The sequence below is a fragment of the Homo sapiens genome, chromosome 5 (assembly GCF_000001405.40).
Source record: "Homo sapiens chromosome 5, GRCh38.p14 Primary Assembly".
Taxonomy (NCBI): Eukaryota; Metazoa; Chordata; class Mammalia; order Primates; family Hominidae; genus Homo; species Homo sapiens.
The window spans coordinates 75,001,496-75,018,903 of NC_000005.10; the positions used below are offsets into that span (position 1 = coordinate 75,001,496).

Below are 17,408 nucleotides of genomic sequence, written 5' to 3' on the forward strand. Positions count from 1 at the left end.
ATCATATACTATTTTCCATCCACTTAAATTTAGTGTGTATGTGTCCTTATATTTAAAGCAGGTTTCTTATAGATATCACAGAGTTGGGTCTTGTTTTTTTGACCAACTTTGACAATCTCTGTCTTTTAATTGGTGTATTTAGACCACTGGTTTTCAAAGTAATTGTTGAAATATTTGAATTAATATCTACCATATTTGTTACTATTTTCTATTTGTTGCCCTTGTTCTTTTTTTTCTGTTTTTGCCTTCTACTCTTTTTCTGCCTTTTGTGATTCTATTGTATTTTATTTATTTTCTTTCTTGCTTCTTGCAGAGCAGGGCTAACTGATAGGCATGACCCATAGTGCCCACAGTCAGTTCTTTTGTGATTTTATTTTATTATTTATTTATTTTTGAGACAGCCTCTCACTCTGTTGCCCAGGCTGGAGTGCAGTGGTGTGATCTCAGCTCACTGCAGTCTCTGCCTCCAGGGTTCAAGTGATTCTCCTGTCTCAGCCTCCTGAGTAGCTGGGATTACGGGTGCATGCCAACATTTCTGGCTGTTGTTTGTATTTTTAGCAGAGGTGAGGTTTTGCCATGTTGACCAGGCTGGACTTGAACTCCTGACCTCAAGTGATCTACCCACCTTGGCCTCCCAAAGCGCTGGGATTATAGGCGTGAGGCACTGTGCCTGGTCCTCTATGTGATTTTAACTGGACATTTATATTATTCCATTTTCTCTCCCTTTTTTTGGCATTTAGTTACACTTCTTTATTTGCTTTTTCTAGTAGTTACCCTGGAGTTTGCAAAATGCTTTTACAATGAATCCAAGTGTGCTTTCAAATAACAGCACACAGGTAGCACGAGTACCTTTTAATAACAAAATGTAGAATGAGCATCCCAAATCCAAAAATCCGAAACCGGAAATGCCCCGAAATCTAAAACTTTTTGAACATTGACATGGCACTGAAAGGAAATGCTCACTGGGGCACTTTGGACTTTGGATTTTCATATGCTGAACCAGTAAGTATAAGGCAAACATTTCAAAATCTGAAAAACATCTGAAATCCAAAACACTTCTGTTCTCAAGCATTTTGGATAATGGATACTCAAACTGTAATCCCATTTCTTCCCTCCTGTCCCTTGTATCTTTGCTGTCATTCATTTTACTTACATATAAGCAAGTATACACATAAGATACATACATAAGAATCACAGTGGAATACATTGTTGCTATTATATTTTGAACAAACTGTTACCTGTTAGAAAGATGTAATTTAGTTTTTCTCAGTTCCTCTCCCCAATTAGATGGAACAGGATGGCTACAGTGGGCCAGGATGGAGTCTTTCCCTTCTCCAAGGTCAGTTAGGCTCTGGAAAAACCCCAGCATATAAGGATCTGGATAAATAGTTTCTCCTGAGGGCAGGCATTGTTAAGAAGAAAATGCCTTGGCGTATTTCAAAATAGTTCCTTTTCCTCTCCCCTTGCCAGAATCATTAGGGATTTTTTCTCCAGTACGTACTGCCGGAACATGGTCAAGCTCCTGGAGGTAAAACTCACAAAAGTGTGGCTACTTCCCTATGACTGGGTCCTTTTGGAGTTTTTAACGTTCAGACTTGTCCATGCTGAGCCTCTGGAAATTCATCGATTATAATTCAGGTTTTCCCTCCTAAAACTGGTTCCCACAGCAGTTTCTGCTCCTGAGTCTCTGCCCAGTAAGCTGTGACTCCTTCTAGAGGCCTCCGTGTCTTTCCAGACTTGACGACAGTGGTTTGCCCTGTGTCCTCCCCTCTCCTACAGATCCAAGAAGAGCTGGTTTTTTAGCCTGTTCAGCTTTGTACTTGCTAGGACAGAGTGGCAACTTCCAAGCTCTGTACATGTGGAATAGAAACTGGAAGTCTCCATTTCAGATACTTTTAATCTCTGAAAATCTCCATTTGATTTCTTGTACCTTCCATTTCACTTCTTATCATGTCCATGTCCTTGGGCATAGAAAACACATTTATAACAGCTACTTCCATGTTCTTACATCACCATTATCAGTTCTTTTCTGTTTTTAATTATGGATTTTTCATCTAGTCATAGGCCTCATGGTCCTGCTTCTTCACATGGCTCATGACTTTTGACTGAATGCCAAACATGGTGAATTTCATATTGTCAAGTGCTGAGCTTTGAATGCCTTTAAAGAGTATTGAATTTTTCCTGGCAGGCAGTTTAAGTTACTTCTAGATTAGTTTTATCCTTTTGAGGCTTTTTATCTCTTTTAAGGTAGTTCTAGAGTCTATTACCCTAAAGCAATTTAGCTCTACTTTTAAGTCATAGCCCTCCTGGGGTCTTTGGTATTCAATAAAACTTCTCTACTCCAACTGGTGGGAACCTGAATGGTTTTCAGCCCTATGTGATATCTGAGATTTATTTGTCTCAAAGCTCCTTGCAACTGTTTTCTCCTTGGAGGTTGTTCTTGTCCAGCCTAGTGGAACTTCACCATATACACAAACAGATTGGTCTTCAACCTAAATCTCAAGGGAGTCCCCATGTAGATTTCTAGAGCTCAGTGAAATTCCTGTCTTTTAGGTACTCTGCCCTGAAAATTTTAGCCACTTTGACCTCTCCAAACTACAGTCTCTGTTTAGATTTCCCCTCTGTATAGTCTCTTTTGTATTGCTATAAAAGAATACCTGAGAGAGTAATTTATAAAGAAAGAGATGTATTTGGCTTAGAGTTCTGCAGACTGTGTAAGAAGCATGGCGCCAACATCTACTCAGCTTCTGGTGAGTCCTCAGGAAGCTTTTATTCTTGGCAGAAGACAAAGTGGGGGCAAATGTGCCACATGGTGAGAGAGAGAGCAAGAATGAGGGGAGAAGTTTCCAGGTTCCTTTAACCCGCTAGTTCTCAATGTGAACTAATAGACTGAGAACTCACTCATCACCAAAGGGATGGTACCAAGTCATTCATGAAGGATCCTCCACCAATGACCCAAACAACTCCTGCTAGGCCCCACCTCCAATACTGGGGATCACATTTAAACATGGGATTTGGAGGGCACAAGTATCCAAACCACATTACCCTCTGTGAACCTCAGTATAGGCATTATCTCCAGGCAGAGGCCTACGTAATGGAAAGCTCACCTCACTTGCTCCCCTTTTCTCCATGATCACAGCCCTATGCTTCCCACTGGCCTATATCCAAAAAGAGTTTCTTCTCTTTTTTCTTTCAGTTTTCTAATTGTTTATGGTGAGACGGTACTTCTGTGTCATCTTACTTTCTCATCACTGGGGGAACAAGTACCTGTCTCATTCCTTCCAGCAACGGAGTACCAGATTGTGGGAGCCTCCAAAAGGAAACACAGAGACTAAAACAAAGGTAGAAAAGGAACCAAACAAAACAGATAATATGGGGAATAGAAGAAAACATTTTAAAATTTATAATTAAAATCCTCAGAGACCTAGGAGAAAACACTGCATACCTGAAAGAAGAACAGGATGTCATAATTTTCTTTTTATCTGCAGAGGATAAGAATGTTTTTAAAATTTAAAATGTTAGCAGAATTTAAATCTCAATGGAAGGTATCAAATGTACAATTAAAGAAAATTTTCAGACAGTTGAACAAAAGGACAAACAGAGAAAATATAAAAGAGACAAAACTATTACAGGATTCGTTAACAGCCCAAATTTTCAATTAAAAGGTTCTCTAGGAAAAGAGAATAGAAAAAAAATGAAGGGCAGTAACTGTGTAAAAAGGAAAAAAAATTCTCAAACTGAGGCTCAGGGGCATCTAGATTTAAAAGGACCACTGACTGCCCAGCTCAATGAATTTTAAAAAGATCTACACCAAGGTATACCATGATAAAAGTCCAGGACATCTGAGAGAAAAAGACTTCAGGCCAGGCGTGGTGGCTCACGCCTGTAATCCCAGCACTTTGGGAGTCCCAGGTGGGCGGATCATGAGGTCAGGAGTTCGAGACCACGGTGAAACCCTGTCTCTACTTAAAATACAAAAAAATTAGTCAGGCGCAGTGGCGGGCGCCTATAGTACCAGCTACTCGGGAGGCTGAGGCCGGAGAATGGCATGAACCCGGGAGGCGGAGCTTGCAGTGAGCCAAGATTGTGCCACTGCACTCCAGCCTGGGTGACAGAGAAAGACTTTGTCTCAAAAAAAAAAAAAGAGGACTTCAAAAGCATACAAGGGATTGGAAATCAGAATGGCATAGCAACACAAGACACTAGAGGCCCAATGCCCACAACCTCTAAGAGGACAATTTTCATCTGTAATTTTATACCCAGACAAACTATCAACCAAATATGAGGATATAATGAAGACAATTTCAAACACGCAGAGTAACAAAAATTTTACCTTCTCTTCCTTCTTTCTCATGAAGCAACAGGAGAATGTGCTCCATCAATCAGGCTGAAACACCCAGAGGAAGACACAGGATCCAGAAAATCAGAAACCTCTAGCAGGAGATTGTGGGAAGACCCAAAATAATGCAGAAGGGAAGCTCTGGGGTTACAGCTGTGCAGCAAGCCCAGGAACAGTCAGTGTAGAATGAGTACAAGGGGATGATTTCAAAAATAAAATAAATAAACTGTATTTTATTGTGTTGTAAGGAGTTTTGTTTAGCATGTTATTTAGAATTATGAAGGCAGATATAAAAAACAGTGAAAAGGGCTGAAAATAGTTCCTTCTGGGTAGTGAGAACTGGAGATCAGGAAGGCCATGGGGAGGTGAGCATATTTTTTGCTTCAGCTGTGTGCTTTTTGAGTTTTAAACCTTTATTAATGTATTATTTTGGTCATTTTTTTTCTTTTTTAAGACAAGGTCTGGCTCTACCACCCAGGCTGAAATGCAGTGGCGTGATCTTGGCTCACTGCAACCTCCACCTCCTGGGCTCAAGCCATCCTCCCACCTCAGCCTCCCAAGTAGCTGGGACTACAAGCATATACCACCATGCCTGGCTAAGTTTTGTATTTTTGCAGAGATGGAGTGTCACTATGTTGTTCAGGCTGGTCTTGAACTCATGAGCTCAAGCGATCTGCCCTCCTTGGCCTCCCAAAGTGCTGGGATTACAGGTGTGAACTACCATGCCTGGGCAATAAATTGTTTTAAATTAAAACGTAAGAGCTAGAAATCTTTATTTTAAATAAATGGTTTTTTTTGTGTTCCTTAAAAACAAAACAAAAATCACAAGTTTAATACTAATCCTTTGAAACACTGTACACTAAACAAAGCCACCTTACTCATGCAGCAAGTTGGTCTAAGTTCTCTTCTGTTTGCCAGATGATTCTCAATAACTTCTGCAAACAGATTCCTCTTCAACAGTTTATATGCAAGAGGTAAAAGCTGGCCAGCAACTTTACAAAAATAATGTGAGCCATAGCAAAAGAGGTCCATTTTCTCAACTCAAGCCCCGTGCCATAGTCAGATTCATTAGCAAATGGCACAAGAGTCATCATTTCCTGAATAGGAGCAAAAGCTTTTAGTCTCTCCTCTTCACTTACAGCCTCAATTATTGTCTTGCAAATTCTCTTGAGGTCAGCGGTAAAAGGCCTAGAAATCCAAGTTTGCATATACCAAAGACATTCCTTGCACAAATTCTTTCCTGATCTCCCAAAGGATGCAAGTATAACTGTTATGTGAGGTCAGACCTCATGGGGCTTTGACTCCATGGGCACAGGTTTAGGGCCTGGTCTTTTAGCCCTGCAGATCTGCCCCATTGACAGCCTAATGTCAAGAGATGCTGGACTGCTGAAAACTGTAGTACCTTATGCGAATTTATGAGACTGTACTGGAAAGCCAATTTAGTCATTTACAGTGAGAAATATAACTGTCAAGAATGATTGGAAATTCTTGTAAGTCTGCACATTCTTTCCTTAATAGGGAAGCATAGTTGAGAAAATCTAATTACATTCAGGAGTTTGCTTAATAAAAAAGGAATGAAATTGAAGAAGAGCATCATAGAGTCCTCAGAAATATTTTAAGCAGACCATGGTAGCCTGATTAGTCAACTTCTTCCTTTAATAGCTATCAAAGATCAGCAACCTTTTTCTGTAAAGTATTGGATATTCTATATTTTCAGATTTTGCAAGCCATCTCTGTCGAAACTACTTAACTCTGCGGTTGCAGAGAGGCATGGGTGATATGTAAACGAGTCGGCGTGGCTGCATTCTTACGGCACTCCCCCTGGATATCATGCAGACTACAGCTCCGTGGGGGTGACCAGATCTCTCCCCTGCACAGTCTGAAGATGACACATTCTTACTGTCAGACTCACTTTCTTCATTTCAGTAACCTTTTATAATGCCTTTAAGCTCTGAGACAAGAGAAAAATTGATCTGATTTTAGTTCTGAGTATCTGGGTTAGATAAAGGAAAATATCTTAAAGTCCATAGTTAACTGGCTTCCAAATCATACTGTATGGAAAGTTATTTGGGAGATTTTTTTTTTTTAAGACAGAGTCTCACTCTGTCACCCAGGCTGGAGTGCAGTGGTGCGATCTCGGCTCACTGCAACCTCTGCCTCCCGGGTTCAAGTGATTCTTCTGCCTCAGCCTCCCGAGTAGCTGGGATTACAGGTGCACGCTGCCATGCCCAACTAATTTTCTGTATTTTAGTAGAGATGGGGTTTCAACATGTTGCCCAGGAGGTCGCGGACTCCTGAGCTCAGGCAATCCGCCCAGCTCGGTCTCCCAAAGTGCTGGGATTACAGGCGTGAGCCATCGCGCCTGCCTGGGAGATTTTTTTCTTAGAGGCAATGGGCATGCAAATGATGAATATAAGTTCTTGTGTCTTGTTAGAGAGTAGATATTCTTCCTTCCTTCATCCTTCTTCCCTCCTTCATTTCATTTCTTTCTTCCCTAATGGTCTCCTTCTTAAGCCTCCGAATTTCCGGTCATCATTGTTAAAGTCTTATTTGTCTTTACTCTAAATGTTTTACAGACTTTTTGAGATACATTATTACAAGCATCTGGTATAGCCAGCTTTCCTTTGAAAAGTGGTTACAGCGTTTGTGATCACTGGGAGAGAAAGGCTGCCAGTGTCAACTACACACTTGTGTTGGGCTGGGAGGTACAACTGGGGAGCTGCCTAGCAGAGATAAATAATACAGGCTCCATCTGTAGGGAATGCATCCTGTCCACCCTGAAGATTTCTGTGCCAACAGTTACCAAAATGCTTCCCAGACCCTGCTTCAACCCCATTAGAGGGCAAGATGCTGTTTCTATATGATAAAGTGAAATATTTTCCTTTCCCCCTAGTGTCACAGAGCCCAAAATCCAAGACAAAGCAGATTTTTAGAGGAATGCCATATGGTCAGATAATTCAGGAATGGCAATTGCTCCTTTTTCTAATCCCCAGGAGTCCCCAGTATTGATTCCATAAACCTGCTTGCTTGGGATTTTATCCTGGGATTTCCCAGGATATATTTTTAAACTGCTTACTCCCTTTTACAAATTCGTGTCATATTGATCCAGAGGACTGGCTTCTTACAGATACCCAGCCCCAGTGAGAGTCACAAATCTGAAGGGGATTGAGACCACTCATGTGTTCATTGATGGACCAGGTGCTCTGAACAAATGAAGTGTATTCATTGAAAAATATATATTTTGGCCGGGCACGGTGGCTCACACCTGTAATCCCAGCACTTTAGGAGGCCGAGGTGAGTGGATCATGAGGTCAAAAGATGAAGACCATCCTGGCCAACATGGTGAAACCCCATCTCTACTAAAAATACAAAAATTAGTTGGCTGTGGTGGCACGAGCCTGTAGTTCCAGCTACTTGGGAGGCTGAGGCAGGAGAATCGCATGAACCCTGAAGGCGGAGTTTGCAGTGAGCCGAGATCACTCCACTGCAATCCAGCCTGGTGGCAGAGCGAGACTCCATCTCAAAAAAAAAAAAAAAAAAAAAAAAAAAAAATATATATATATATATATATATATATATATATATTTTATACCTGCTACATGCCAGGCATTGTTCTAAGTGGTAGGAACCCTGCTGTTAATGAAACAGCATGTTTTGCTTTAATGAAGCTTATGTTATGTGAGGTGGGAAATGAGGATGACACAAAACAAATAAATATATAATGAGTCAAGTAGTGATACAAGCTATGAAGAAAAATACAGCAGGACAAAGCAGGTAGAGACCATTAGAAGTAGGAGGGGTTTCTAGTTAGTTAGCAGGGTGCTTGGGGAAGGCTTCTCAAATATGGTGATACTTGAGCAGAGACTTCAATGTAGTGAGAGAGGAAGCCATGTGGGTACAGCGTGGATACGGAGGGAAGAGAGGCCTGGGCAGAGGAAACGGCGACCACAAAGCCCCTAAGGGCTGATCTGTCTCAATTGTACCCGCAGGATTTTAATTTATGGTGGCTGAGTGACAACCTGGAGAGGTTAATGCCATTGAAAGAAGAATTTATTACTTATAGTTTCGGAGAGGATGGGGCAGGCCAGGCCACACTGGGCCACCTGGGGAAGCAATAGGTGTGGTCAGGAGGTAGGAGCAAGGGGAAAGCATAGTTTAGAGCCTTTATTGGTGTTTTTGCAAGTAAGGCAAGGCAAGGCAGGGGAGACTGCTTAGGAATGTCTAGTTTAAGTAATGTCACTGAGCTTTGGGCTATAGGGGTTGTCTTTAGTTGTCTGGTACCTGGCTCTGGGTGATTTAAAGCAGGGAAAATCCTGGTGTGGTTTGTACAAGTTAGATAAGAAGGTGGTTCAGAGTATGAGATCTGGATCACAGGGAAAATGGAAATAACTTTGGCTATTAGTCTGATACTGTTAGACAAATACGGAATCTAAGAAAGCACAGTTAGAATGTGATCATGTAGGGCCTTCCAGATCTTGTTAAAATTCCTACTGTGTGCAAGCTGGATATGCCTGGGAGGGCAGGAATACTTTGTTCAACACCAACCACAGTGAGAAGAGTAACAGCCATGCAGGGGAGTGCCAACTGCTGGTGCTCAGCTTTTGTTAAAATTCCTACCTGCTTCCTGCTTCTGTTATGCTCTATCCCTGTGGTAATTTGTACAAGTAATTATAAGTTTTATTTGACTAATTTTGGCCTCCTTTAACATGCTTTGCCTTTTAATTTATATCCTATATATGTTATTGTTCCAACAAAAATAATAGTGGGACTTGTATCAGTGAACTTTCTAGAAAAAGATGTCTGTTGATCAAGATATCAGGAAGAACTTATTCGTTTTGTTTTGTCATTAATCTTTCATTTCATGGAAGAATGTTTCATGAGATTGTTGCTTACTCATGCACAAGGACAATTTGAGGTTCTTTCTGTATACTTACAGATGCTTTCTTAAAAATTGAAGAGGCTATCTCATAGCCTAGCTATCTTTGTATTCACTTCTTTTCACTACAATTGAAAACTACAGCAATTACTTAATACAGGGAACTGGAACAGCAAGAACTAGTGTTTGAATCATAGAAAATGAAAATGTTGCTTCCCACTTGTTGCATTCTAGCTTATTTAGTCTGAAAGCTAAAATGGCAAAATAAACAATGTTTTCCAGGAGCTGTCTCAGTTCAGATGACAAGGAAATGTCAGTTGTAGATTCAGTCACAGAAAGACCAGAATTTCATTCATTCAGCAAATATTTACTGGGCATTTGCTGTGTACCTGGCACACATAGGACATTGTGCTGAATAAAACAAACTTTGTCCTTGCCCTCATGAAACAGAAGTCTAGTGAGGGTGACTGACATTTTAAAAAACAAAACAAAACACCTAAGTGCATATATAATTACAAATTGTGATTAGTGTCATAAAAGAAAAGCAAAGAGAGGGAAATATAATTTAGACCATAGAGGAGATAGCTAAGGAGATGTCTTTGAAGACACGTTTTTTGAACTGAGCTTAAAAGATGAATAGGAATTTCCAGTTACCTATTGTTGCATAATAAACTGTCCCAAACTTAGTGGCATAAAACAATACCATTTTATTATGCTAAAACATTCTTTAGGTCAGAAATTCAATGAGGCATGGTGGAAATAGCATATCTCTGCTCTATAATGTTTAGAGTCTTAGCCAGGAAGACTTGAATGTCTAGGGGTAATGCAAACAGCTGGGGGCTGGAATCAACTCCAGGCTTCCTCACTCATATTTCAGGTGCTATAGTGGGCTAAATAGTGACTCCAAAATAATATTTTCAACTCCTTTTTTTTGAGATGGAGTTATGCTCTTGTTGCCCAGGCTGGAGTGCAATGGGGCGATCTTGGCTCACTGCAACCTCCGCCTCCCGGGTTCAAGCAATTCTCCTGCCTCAGCCTCCCGAGTAGCTGGGACTACAGGCATGTGCCAACACACCCAGCTAATTTTGTATTTTTAGTAGAGACAGGGTTTCTCCATGTTGGTCAGGCTGGTCTCGAACTCCTGACCTCAGGTGATCTGCCCGCCTCAGCCTCCCAAAGTGCTGGGATTATAGGCATGAGCCACTGTGCCCTGCTGTTCAACTCCTAATCTCTGGTACCTGTCAATGTGAAATACTTATTTGGAAAAAGGGTCTCTGTAGATGTAATCAAATTAAGATTCTCAAGATCATCTTGTATTGATGGTAGGCCCTAAATCCAATAACTGGTGTCCTTAAGAGAAAATAGAGGGATATTTGAGTAGAGGAGAAACATGGAGGAGAAGGCAATATGGAGACAGAGGTGGAGGTGGAGATTGAAGTAATATGTCTATAAGCCAAGTGTGGGGGAGGAAACACCTCTTCTACTCTCTTAGGTTCAGTAGCTGAGGCCTGCAAATCAAACTTGGAGAAGACTAGTTAACATGAGAAAAAAAACACAGAGTTTACTTATGTGCACAACATGCATGCATGAAGAAGAACTGAGTGATAAATAACTCAAAAGGGGTGGATAGAATTTCAGGCTTATATACCATTACCATCTAAACGAACAGCAATGGGTTTATTGAGAAGTGACAAGACAGGAAAAGGGATTTGGGCTTCTAGGGTCAGTAATTTGTGGTAAGATAAATATATGGAGGAAACTTATGGAAGATAAAGTTTGTTTGTGCAGACAGAAATCTGTCTGATGTTCTGTCTCCGGTGATAACGGTTGTTCTCCTCCTGATATGGCCGCGGTGCGGGACCAGGAGGGGTGGGGTGGGGGGCGGGACAGTGGGTTGTAACACCTTCAGAAAGGGAAATTTGTACCCTGCCTTTAGGAAGAAACAGGGAGAATAGAGAGCTCCTTTTGCATCTGTTGTGTCTCAATTGCCTTCAGCTCAAAATTATCCTCATGCCTAAGTGGCATGTTTTGGGTGGCATATTCTGATTCCCTGCATAAGGAAGGTTAAAGATTGCCAGCTACCACCAGAAGCTAGGAGGGCATGGCACCTGCTATCCCCTCCCAACACTTTGAATACACACTTCTGGCCTCCAGAACTGCAAGAGAATATTTTAAACCACCAGGTTTGTGGTAGTTTCTATGGTAGGCCTAGGCTGGGATACAGCAACTACATGTGATCTCCTGTGTGGCTTCAGCTGCACGCAGTGGGGTGGCTGGGTTCTGAGATGCAGCTTCCTGGGGGCAAGTGCCCCAAGAGTATGACCTTCAAGAGCCCAAGGCAGAAGCTGCAAGGCTTTGTCTTACCTAGCCTTGGAAGTCACATAATGTCACTACCACCATTCAGTCACAAGCCCACCCAGATTCAAGGAGAAGGGATAGAGACCCCATCTCTCAACTGGAGGCATGTCAAAGAATTTATGTTCATGGTCCATAGCCACCTCAAGGAGTTAGCCATTTGGGGAAAGCAGTAGAGTAGAGCCACATTAATTAATCTAAATTAATTAAAATAAAATAAAAAATCAATGCCTCAGTCACACTAGCCACATTTCAAGTACTCAGTAGTTACATGTCTGTGCTGCCATATTGGACAGCACAGACGTAGAACACTTCCATCATGGCAGGCAGTTCTACTGAACAGTGCTGCCCTAGACAGAGAGAACAGCATGGACAAAGGCTCTGAGTTAGAAAATAACTTGGCTCGTAAGAGAAACAGAAAAAATTGGCTTTAGCATCATCCTGGTACCAAAACCTGGCAGAGATACAACAACAAAAAACTTTAGGCCAATATTCTTGATAAACATTGATGCAAAATCCTCAACAAAATACTGGCAAACCAAATCCAGCAGCACATCAAAAATCTTATCCACCATGATCAAGTAGGCTTCAACCCCAGGATGCAAGGCTGGTTCAACATATGCAAATCAATAAATGTGGTTCATCACATAAACAGAACTAAAGATAAAAACTGCATGATTATCTCAATAGCTGCAGAAAAGGCCTTTGTTAAATTCAACATCCCTTCATGTTAAAAACTTTCAATGGCCGGGTGCGGTGGCTCATGCCTGTAATCCCAGAACTTTGGGAGGCTGAGGCGGGCGGATCACCTGAGGTCAGGAGTTTGAGACCAGCCTGGCCAACATGGTGAAACCCTGTCTTTACTAAAAATACAAAAATTAGCCAGGCATGGTGGCAGGCACCTGTAATCCCAGCTACTCGGGAGGCTGAGGCAGGAGAATTTCTTGAACCCCGGAGGTGGAGGTTGCAGTGAGCTGAGATCATGCCATTGCACTCCAGCCTGGGCGACAAGAGCAAGACTTCGTCTCAAAAAAAATTTGTTTTTTCAATAAACTACGTATTGAAGGAACATGCCTCAGAATAATAGGTGCCATATATAACAAACCCACAGCCAATATCATACTGAATGGGCAAAAGCTAGAAGCATTCCCCTTGAAAACCAGCACAAGACAAGGTTGCCCTCTCTCATCACTCCTATTCAACATAATATTGGAAGTTCTGGCCAGGGCACTCAGGCAAACAGAAATAAATAAAGCATATTCAAATAGGAAGAGAGGAAGTCAAACTATCTTTGTTTGCAGACGACATGATCCTATATCTAGAAAACCCCATTATGTCAGCCCAAAAGTTTCTTAAGCTGGTAAGCAACATCAGCAAAGTCTCAGTTTAGAAAATCAATGTGCAAAAATCGCTAGCATTCCTACACACCAACAACAGGCAAACCAAGAGCCAAATCACAAATGAACTCCCATTCACAACTGCCACAAAAAGAATAAAATATCTAGGAATATAGATAACAAAGGAAGTGAAGGACTTCTTTGAGGAGAACCACAAACCACTGCTCAAAGAAATCAGACATGACACAAACAGATGGAAAAACATTCCACAGTCATGGATAGGAAGAATCAATATCATTAAAATGGCCATACTGCCCAAAGCAATTTAGAGATTCAATGCTATTCCCATTAAACTACCATTGCCATTCTTCAAAGAATTAGGAAAAACTATTTTAAAATTCAAATGGAACCAAAAAAGAGCCCAAATAGCCAAGGCAATCCTCAGCAAAAAGAACAAAGCTGGAGGCATCCTTCTACCTGACTTCAAACTATACTACAAGGCTGCAGTAACCAAAACAGCATGGTACTGGTACAAAAACAGACATATAGACCAATGGAAAACAATAGAGAACCCAGAAATAAGACTGCACACCTACAAGCATCTGATCTTTGACAAACTTGACAAACACAAGCAATGGGGAAAGGATTCCCTATTTAATAAATAATGCTGGGAGAACTGGCTGGCCATATGCAGAAAATTGAAACTGGACCCCTTCCTTATACTATATAAAAAAATCAACTCAAGATGGATTAAAGACTTAAATGTAAAACCCTAAACCATAAAAACCCTAGAAGGAAACCTAGGCAATACTATTCAGGACATAGGCACAGTCAAAAATGTCATGACGGAGACATCAAAAGCCATTGCAACAAAAGCAAAAATTGACAGATGGGATCTAATTAAACTAAAGAGCTTCTGCACAGCAAAAGAAACCATCAACAGTGTAAACACACAGCCTACAGAATGGGAGAAAATTTTCGCAATCTATTCATCTGACAAAGGTCTAATATCCAATATCTGTAAGGAACTTAAACAAATTTGCAAGAAAAAAACAACCCCATTAAAAAGTGGACAAAGGACAGGAACAGACACTTCTCAAAAGAAGACAAATATGCAGCCAACAAACATATGAAAAAGAGCTCAACATCACTGATCATTAGAGAAATGCAAATCAAAACCACAATGAGATACCATCTCACACCAGTCAGAATGGTGATTATTAAAAAGCCAAAAAACAACAGCTGCTGGTAAGGTTGTGGAGTAAAAGGAATGCTTTTCACTGTTGGTGGGAGTGTAAATTAGTTCAACCATTGTGGAAGCCAGTGTGGGGATTCCTCAAAGATCACAGAGGCAGAAATACCATTCAATCCAGTATTCCCATTACTGGGTATATATCCAAAGAAATATAAATCATTCTATTATAAAGACACATGCATGTGTATGTTCATTGCAGCACTATTCACAATAGCAAATACATGGAATCAACCTAAATGCCCATCAGTGATAGACTGGATAGAGAAAATGTGGTACATATATCACGGACTACTATGCAGTCATAAAAAGGAATGAGATTATGTCCTTTGCAGGGACATGGGTGGAGCTAGAGGTCATTACCCTTAGCAAACTAATGCAGGAACAGAAAACCAAATACCGCATGTTCTCACTTATAAGTGGGAACTAAATGATGAGAACACACGGAGGTGGGGAGGGAACAATACACACTGGGGCCTATTGGAGGGTGGGGGGTGGGTGGGTGGGTGGGAAGAGGGAGAGGGATCAGGAAGAAAAGCTAATGGATGCTGGGCTTAATACCTGCGTGATGGGAAGATCTGTGCAGTAAACCACCATGGCATACATTTACTCATGTAACAAACCTGCACATCCTGCATATTATGTACCCCTGAACTTAAAATAAAAGTTGGAAATTAAAAAATAAATAAAATTTCAATGTGGAATCTGAAATTATATCAAAATAAAATTTTTGTATTTTGTTAAATTACAAAAAATAAAAAAGCTGGCTTTAAGGGCATGTTCTGTGGCTGTATTTTGCTGCTGTATGCCCAGTGCCTAGCATATAAGGCCCTCACAAGATACTTGTGGAATGAAAGAATGCATGCAAATGGCTCAAGTATACCAAGTGTATCAAGCTGTGTCTCTTTAGAGTTACATATATACAGGCTGGTATAGTGACTTTATAATAATCAGAAACCCAGGGTTTTGGTTGAGGTTTCTACCTCATTATCCAAGATATTTGCTTTTCAGCCAGCAGAAAGAAAAAGGAGAAGAGCTGCCACCCTTTGTATCCAGGATGATCTCTTCTTGAAATCCTTGATTTAATTATATCTGCATGACCCTTTCCCCAACTAAGGTTATATCCACAGTTACCGGGGGTTAGCACTGGGACATCCCTTATTTTAAGAACATGTCTCAGAAAGTTGCACAAAAAACTTCTACTACATCCCATTGGCCAATGATTCTTACATGATGACACCTGCCTTGCAAGAGAGGCTGGGATATGTACTCTTTATGCTGAGACGCACACGCTCAGCTTAAAAGGAGGGTTCTATTATTATGAAAGAAGGAGAGATGAGACATGAGGAGCAGTAACAATTAATCTCTGACATAGTTGTTTGCACATATGCATTTCCCACTAGACTAGAGTTCCTGGAGGAGAGGGAGCCAGTCTTACTCATCCTCAATCCTCAGCACCTAGCGTGATGCCTAGCATCTAATAACTCATCATCACTGATTGTGTGCTGAACTGCATGCTTGCTCAGATTTACAGTTGTTTTTGAATCCCAACATCTTTTTCAGATTTATTTCCTGGAAGCCACAGCTTTTTTCCCCTCCATTGGAAGCATGAAGAAATTTTTCTCCAGTCTTCACCCTGAGAATTTGGTGGGGCCCCTCAAGATAAAACAAAAGCTGGGGTGTGTCCCTAGAACTGGGGCATCTGGAATTTTTAACTCAACACTGCCCACAGTGAGCATTCAGAAATTTTCAATTTCAGTTTCGGTGTTCCTACCTGTGTGCTCCAGATGTGGGCTTCTACTCTTGGTAAGTTGGGATCCTCTTTATTTGCCTGTGTCTCCAATTTTCAGAGTGAGGTTTGTCCTGTGACTTCAATTTTCTGATGGATCTAAGAAAAGTATTGGTTTTCAGTTGGTTCAGCTTTTTTTCTTGTTGAGAAGATGCTTTAGGAAGGGGGTGGATTTGTAGGGACAATAGAGAAAAGGGAGAGCAAAGGTGAGGGACAGCGAAGGGAGGCAGGGCATGCAGAAGAACAAAGACCCTCCGGAGCCAGGACCTCCACTTTCCCGTGACCATGCCGCACCTTCCGCCCGCCAGGAATCTCTCTGCTGGCCACCCAATTCCTGCTGCCACTACAGCCTCCAATGTGGTGGTTTTCACTGATTATTCATTAGAATCCCCTGGGAGCTCCTATGAATCCCTGCACCTAAGCTTATCCTAATAAAAAGCATCATAGAGGGTTTTAATGTGTAGCAGGTGCTGAGAACCAGTGATCTAGATTCTTGCATGTTAAAGAGGGGTGGGTCTATGGACCAGCAGCACTGACACCACCAGGGAGCTTGTTAGAAATGCAGCAACTCAGGCCCAATCCCAGAAATACCAAATCAGAACTTTCATTTTAAAAGACCCACAAGTAAGATTTCTATGCCCGTTAAAGTTTGTGAAGTGCTGCCAAGATGATCCTCCTATCTCTCCAATTATTGTTGTTCTCTTGAAGCAGACATCTCCCTGGGAACTGCTACGTGAGCCAGGTGATGACCACATGATAAAAGCAGAGAAACTTACAACTCAGCATAGATGTTGTGCCTGCTGTGAGTCACCGGGGGTAACATGTTTATTTTTTATTTTTATTGATTTATTTTTTTGAGATGGAGTCTCACTCTGTTGCCCAGGCTAGAGTGCAGTGGCATGATCTCGGCTCACTGCAACTTCCGCCTCGTGGGTTCAAGCGATTCTCCTGCCTCAGCCTCCTGAGTAGCTGTGATTACAGGCTTGTGCCACCACGCCCAGCTAATTTTTGTATTTTTAGTAGAGACGGGGTTTCACCATTTTGGTCAGGCTGGTCTCAAACTCCTGACCTCGTGACCTGCCACCTTGGCTGGTCTTGAACTTCTGACCTCGTGATCCCCCCCAAAGTGCTGGGATTACAGGTGTGAGCCACCAGTAACATGTTTTAAGTGGAGTGAATTAGATCTTCTGACAGGGGAAGGGGATTGAACTCTTCAGTCTGAAATACCAGTACTGGTTTAATTAGTCTGGATTGACCAGAGCAAAAAATGCTATAAATGAACATCCACCAGAGTTGAGGTTAGTTTGCAGGCTAGGGTTCAGTTTAAAAAACTTGAGTGGAAAAGCAGATAAAGCAAGAGGCAAAAGGAATGAACATTAGGAGTAAGGAAGTGAGGGGAGGAAGACCAGAGGCCAAGCCAGGTCAGGGGAAGAGAAGCACCACAGGGAGGGCTGGGGATG

General features: G+C 41.5%; 1 protein-coding gene across 1 annotated transcript in view, besides 1 other annotated feature; it reads right to left on the reverse strand.

The window, feature by feature from the left end:
• Window positions 5,258-5,880: an enhancer, noted in NCBI's record as "NANOG hESC enhancer chr5:74302578-74303200 (GRCh37/hg19 assembly coordinates)". NCBI's record gives its function as "activates a minimal SCP1, AML or CMV promoter by ChIP-STARR-seq in naive and primed H9 embryonic stem cells {active_cell/tissue: H9 hESC(naive and primed)}" and the evidence as "EXISTENCE:reporter gene assay evidence [ECO:0000049][PMID:30033119]".
• The window catches only part of GCNT4 (glucosaminyl (N-acetyl) transferase 4), a 37,092-nt gene continuing 35,157 nt past the window's right edge, over window positions 15,474-17,408 (reverse strand). The window contains exon 3 of the transcript XR_007058605.1: window positions 15,474-16,047. The gene's annotated coding sequence lies outside the window, so the exon portion shown is untranslated. The remainder of the gene's footprint in view (window positions 16,048-17,408) is intronic.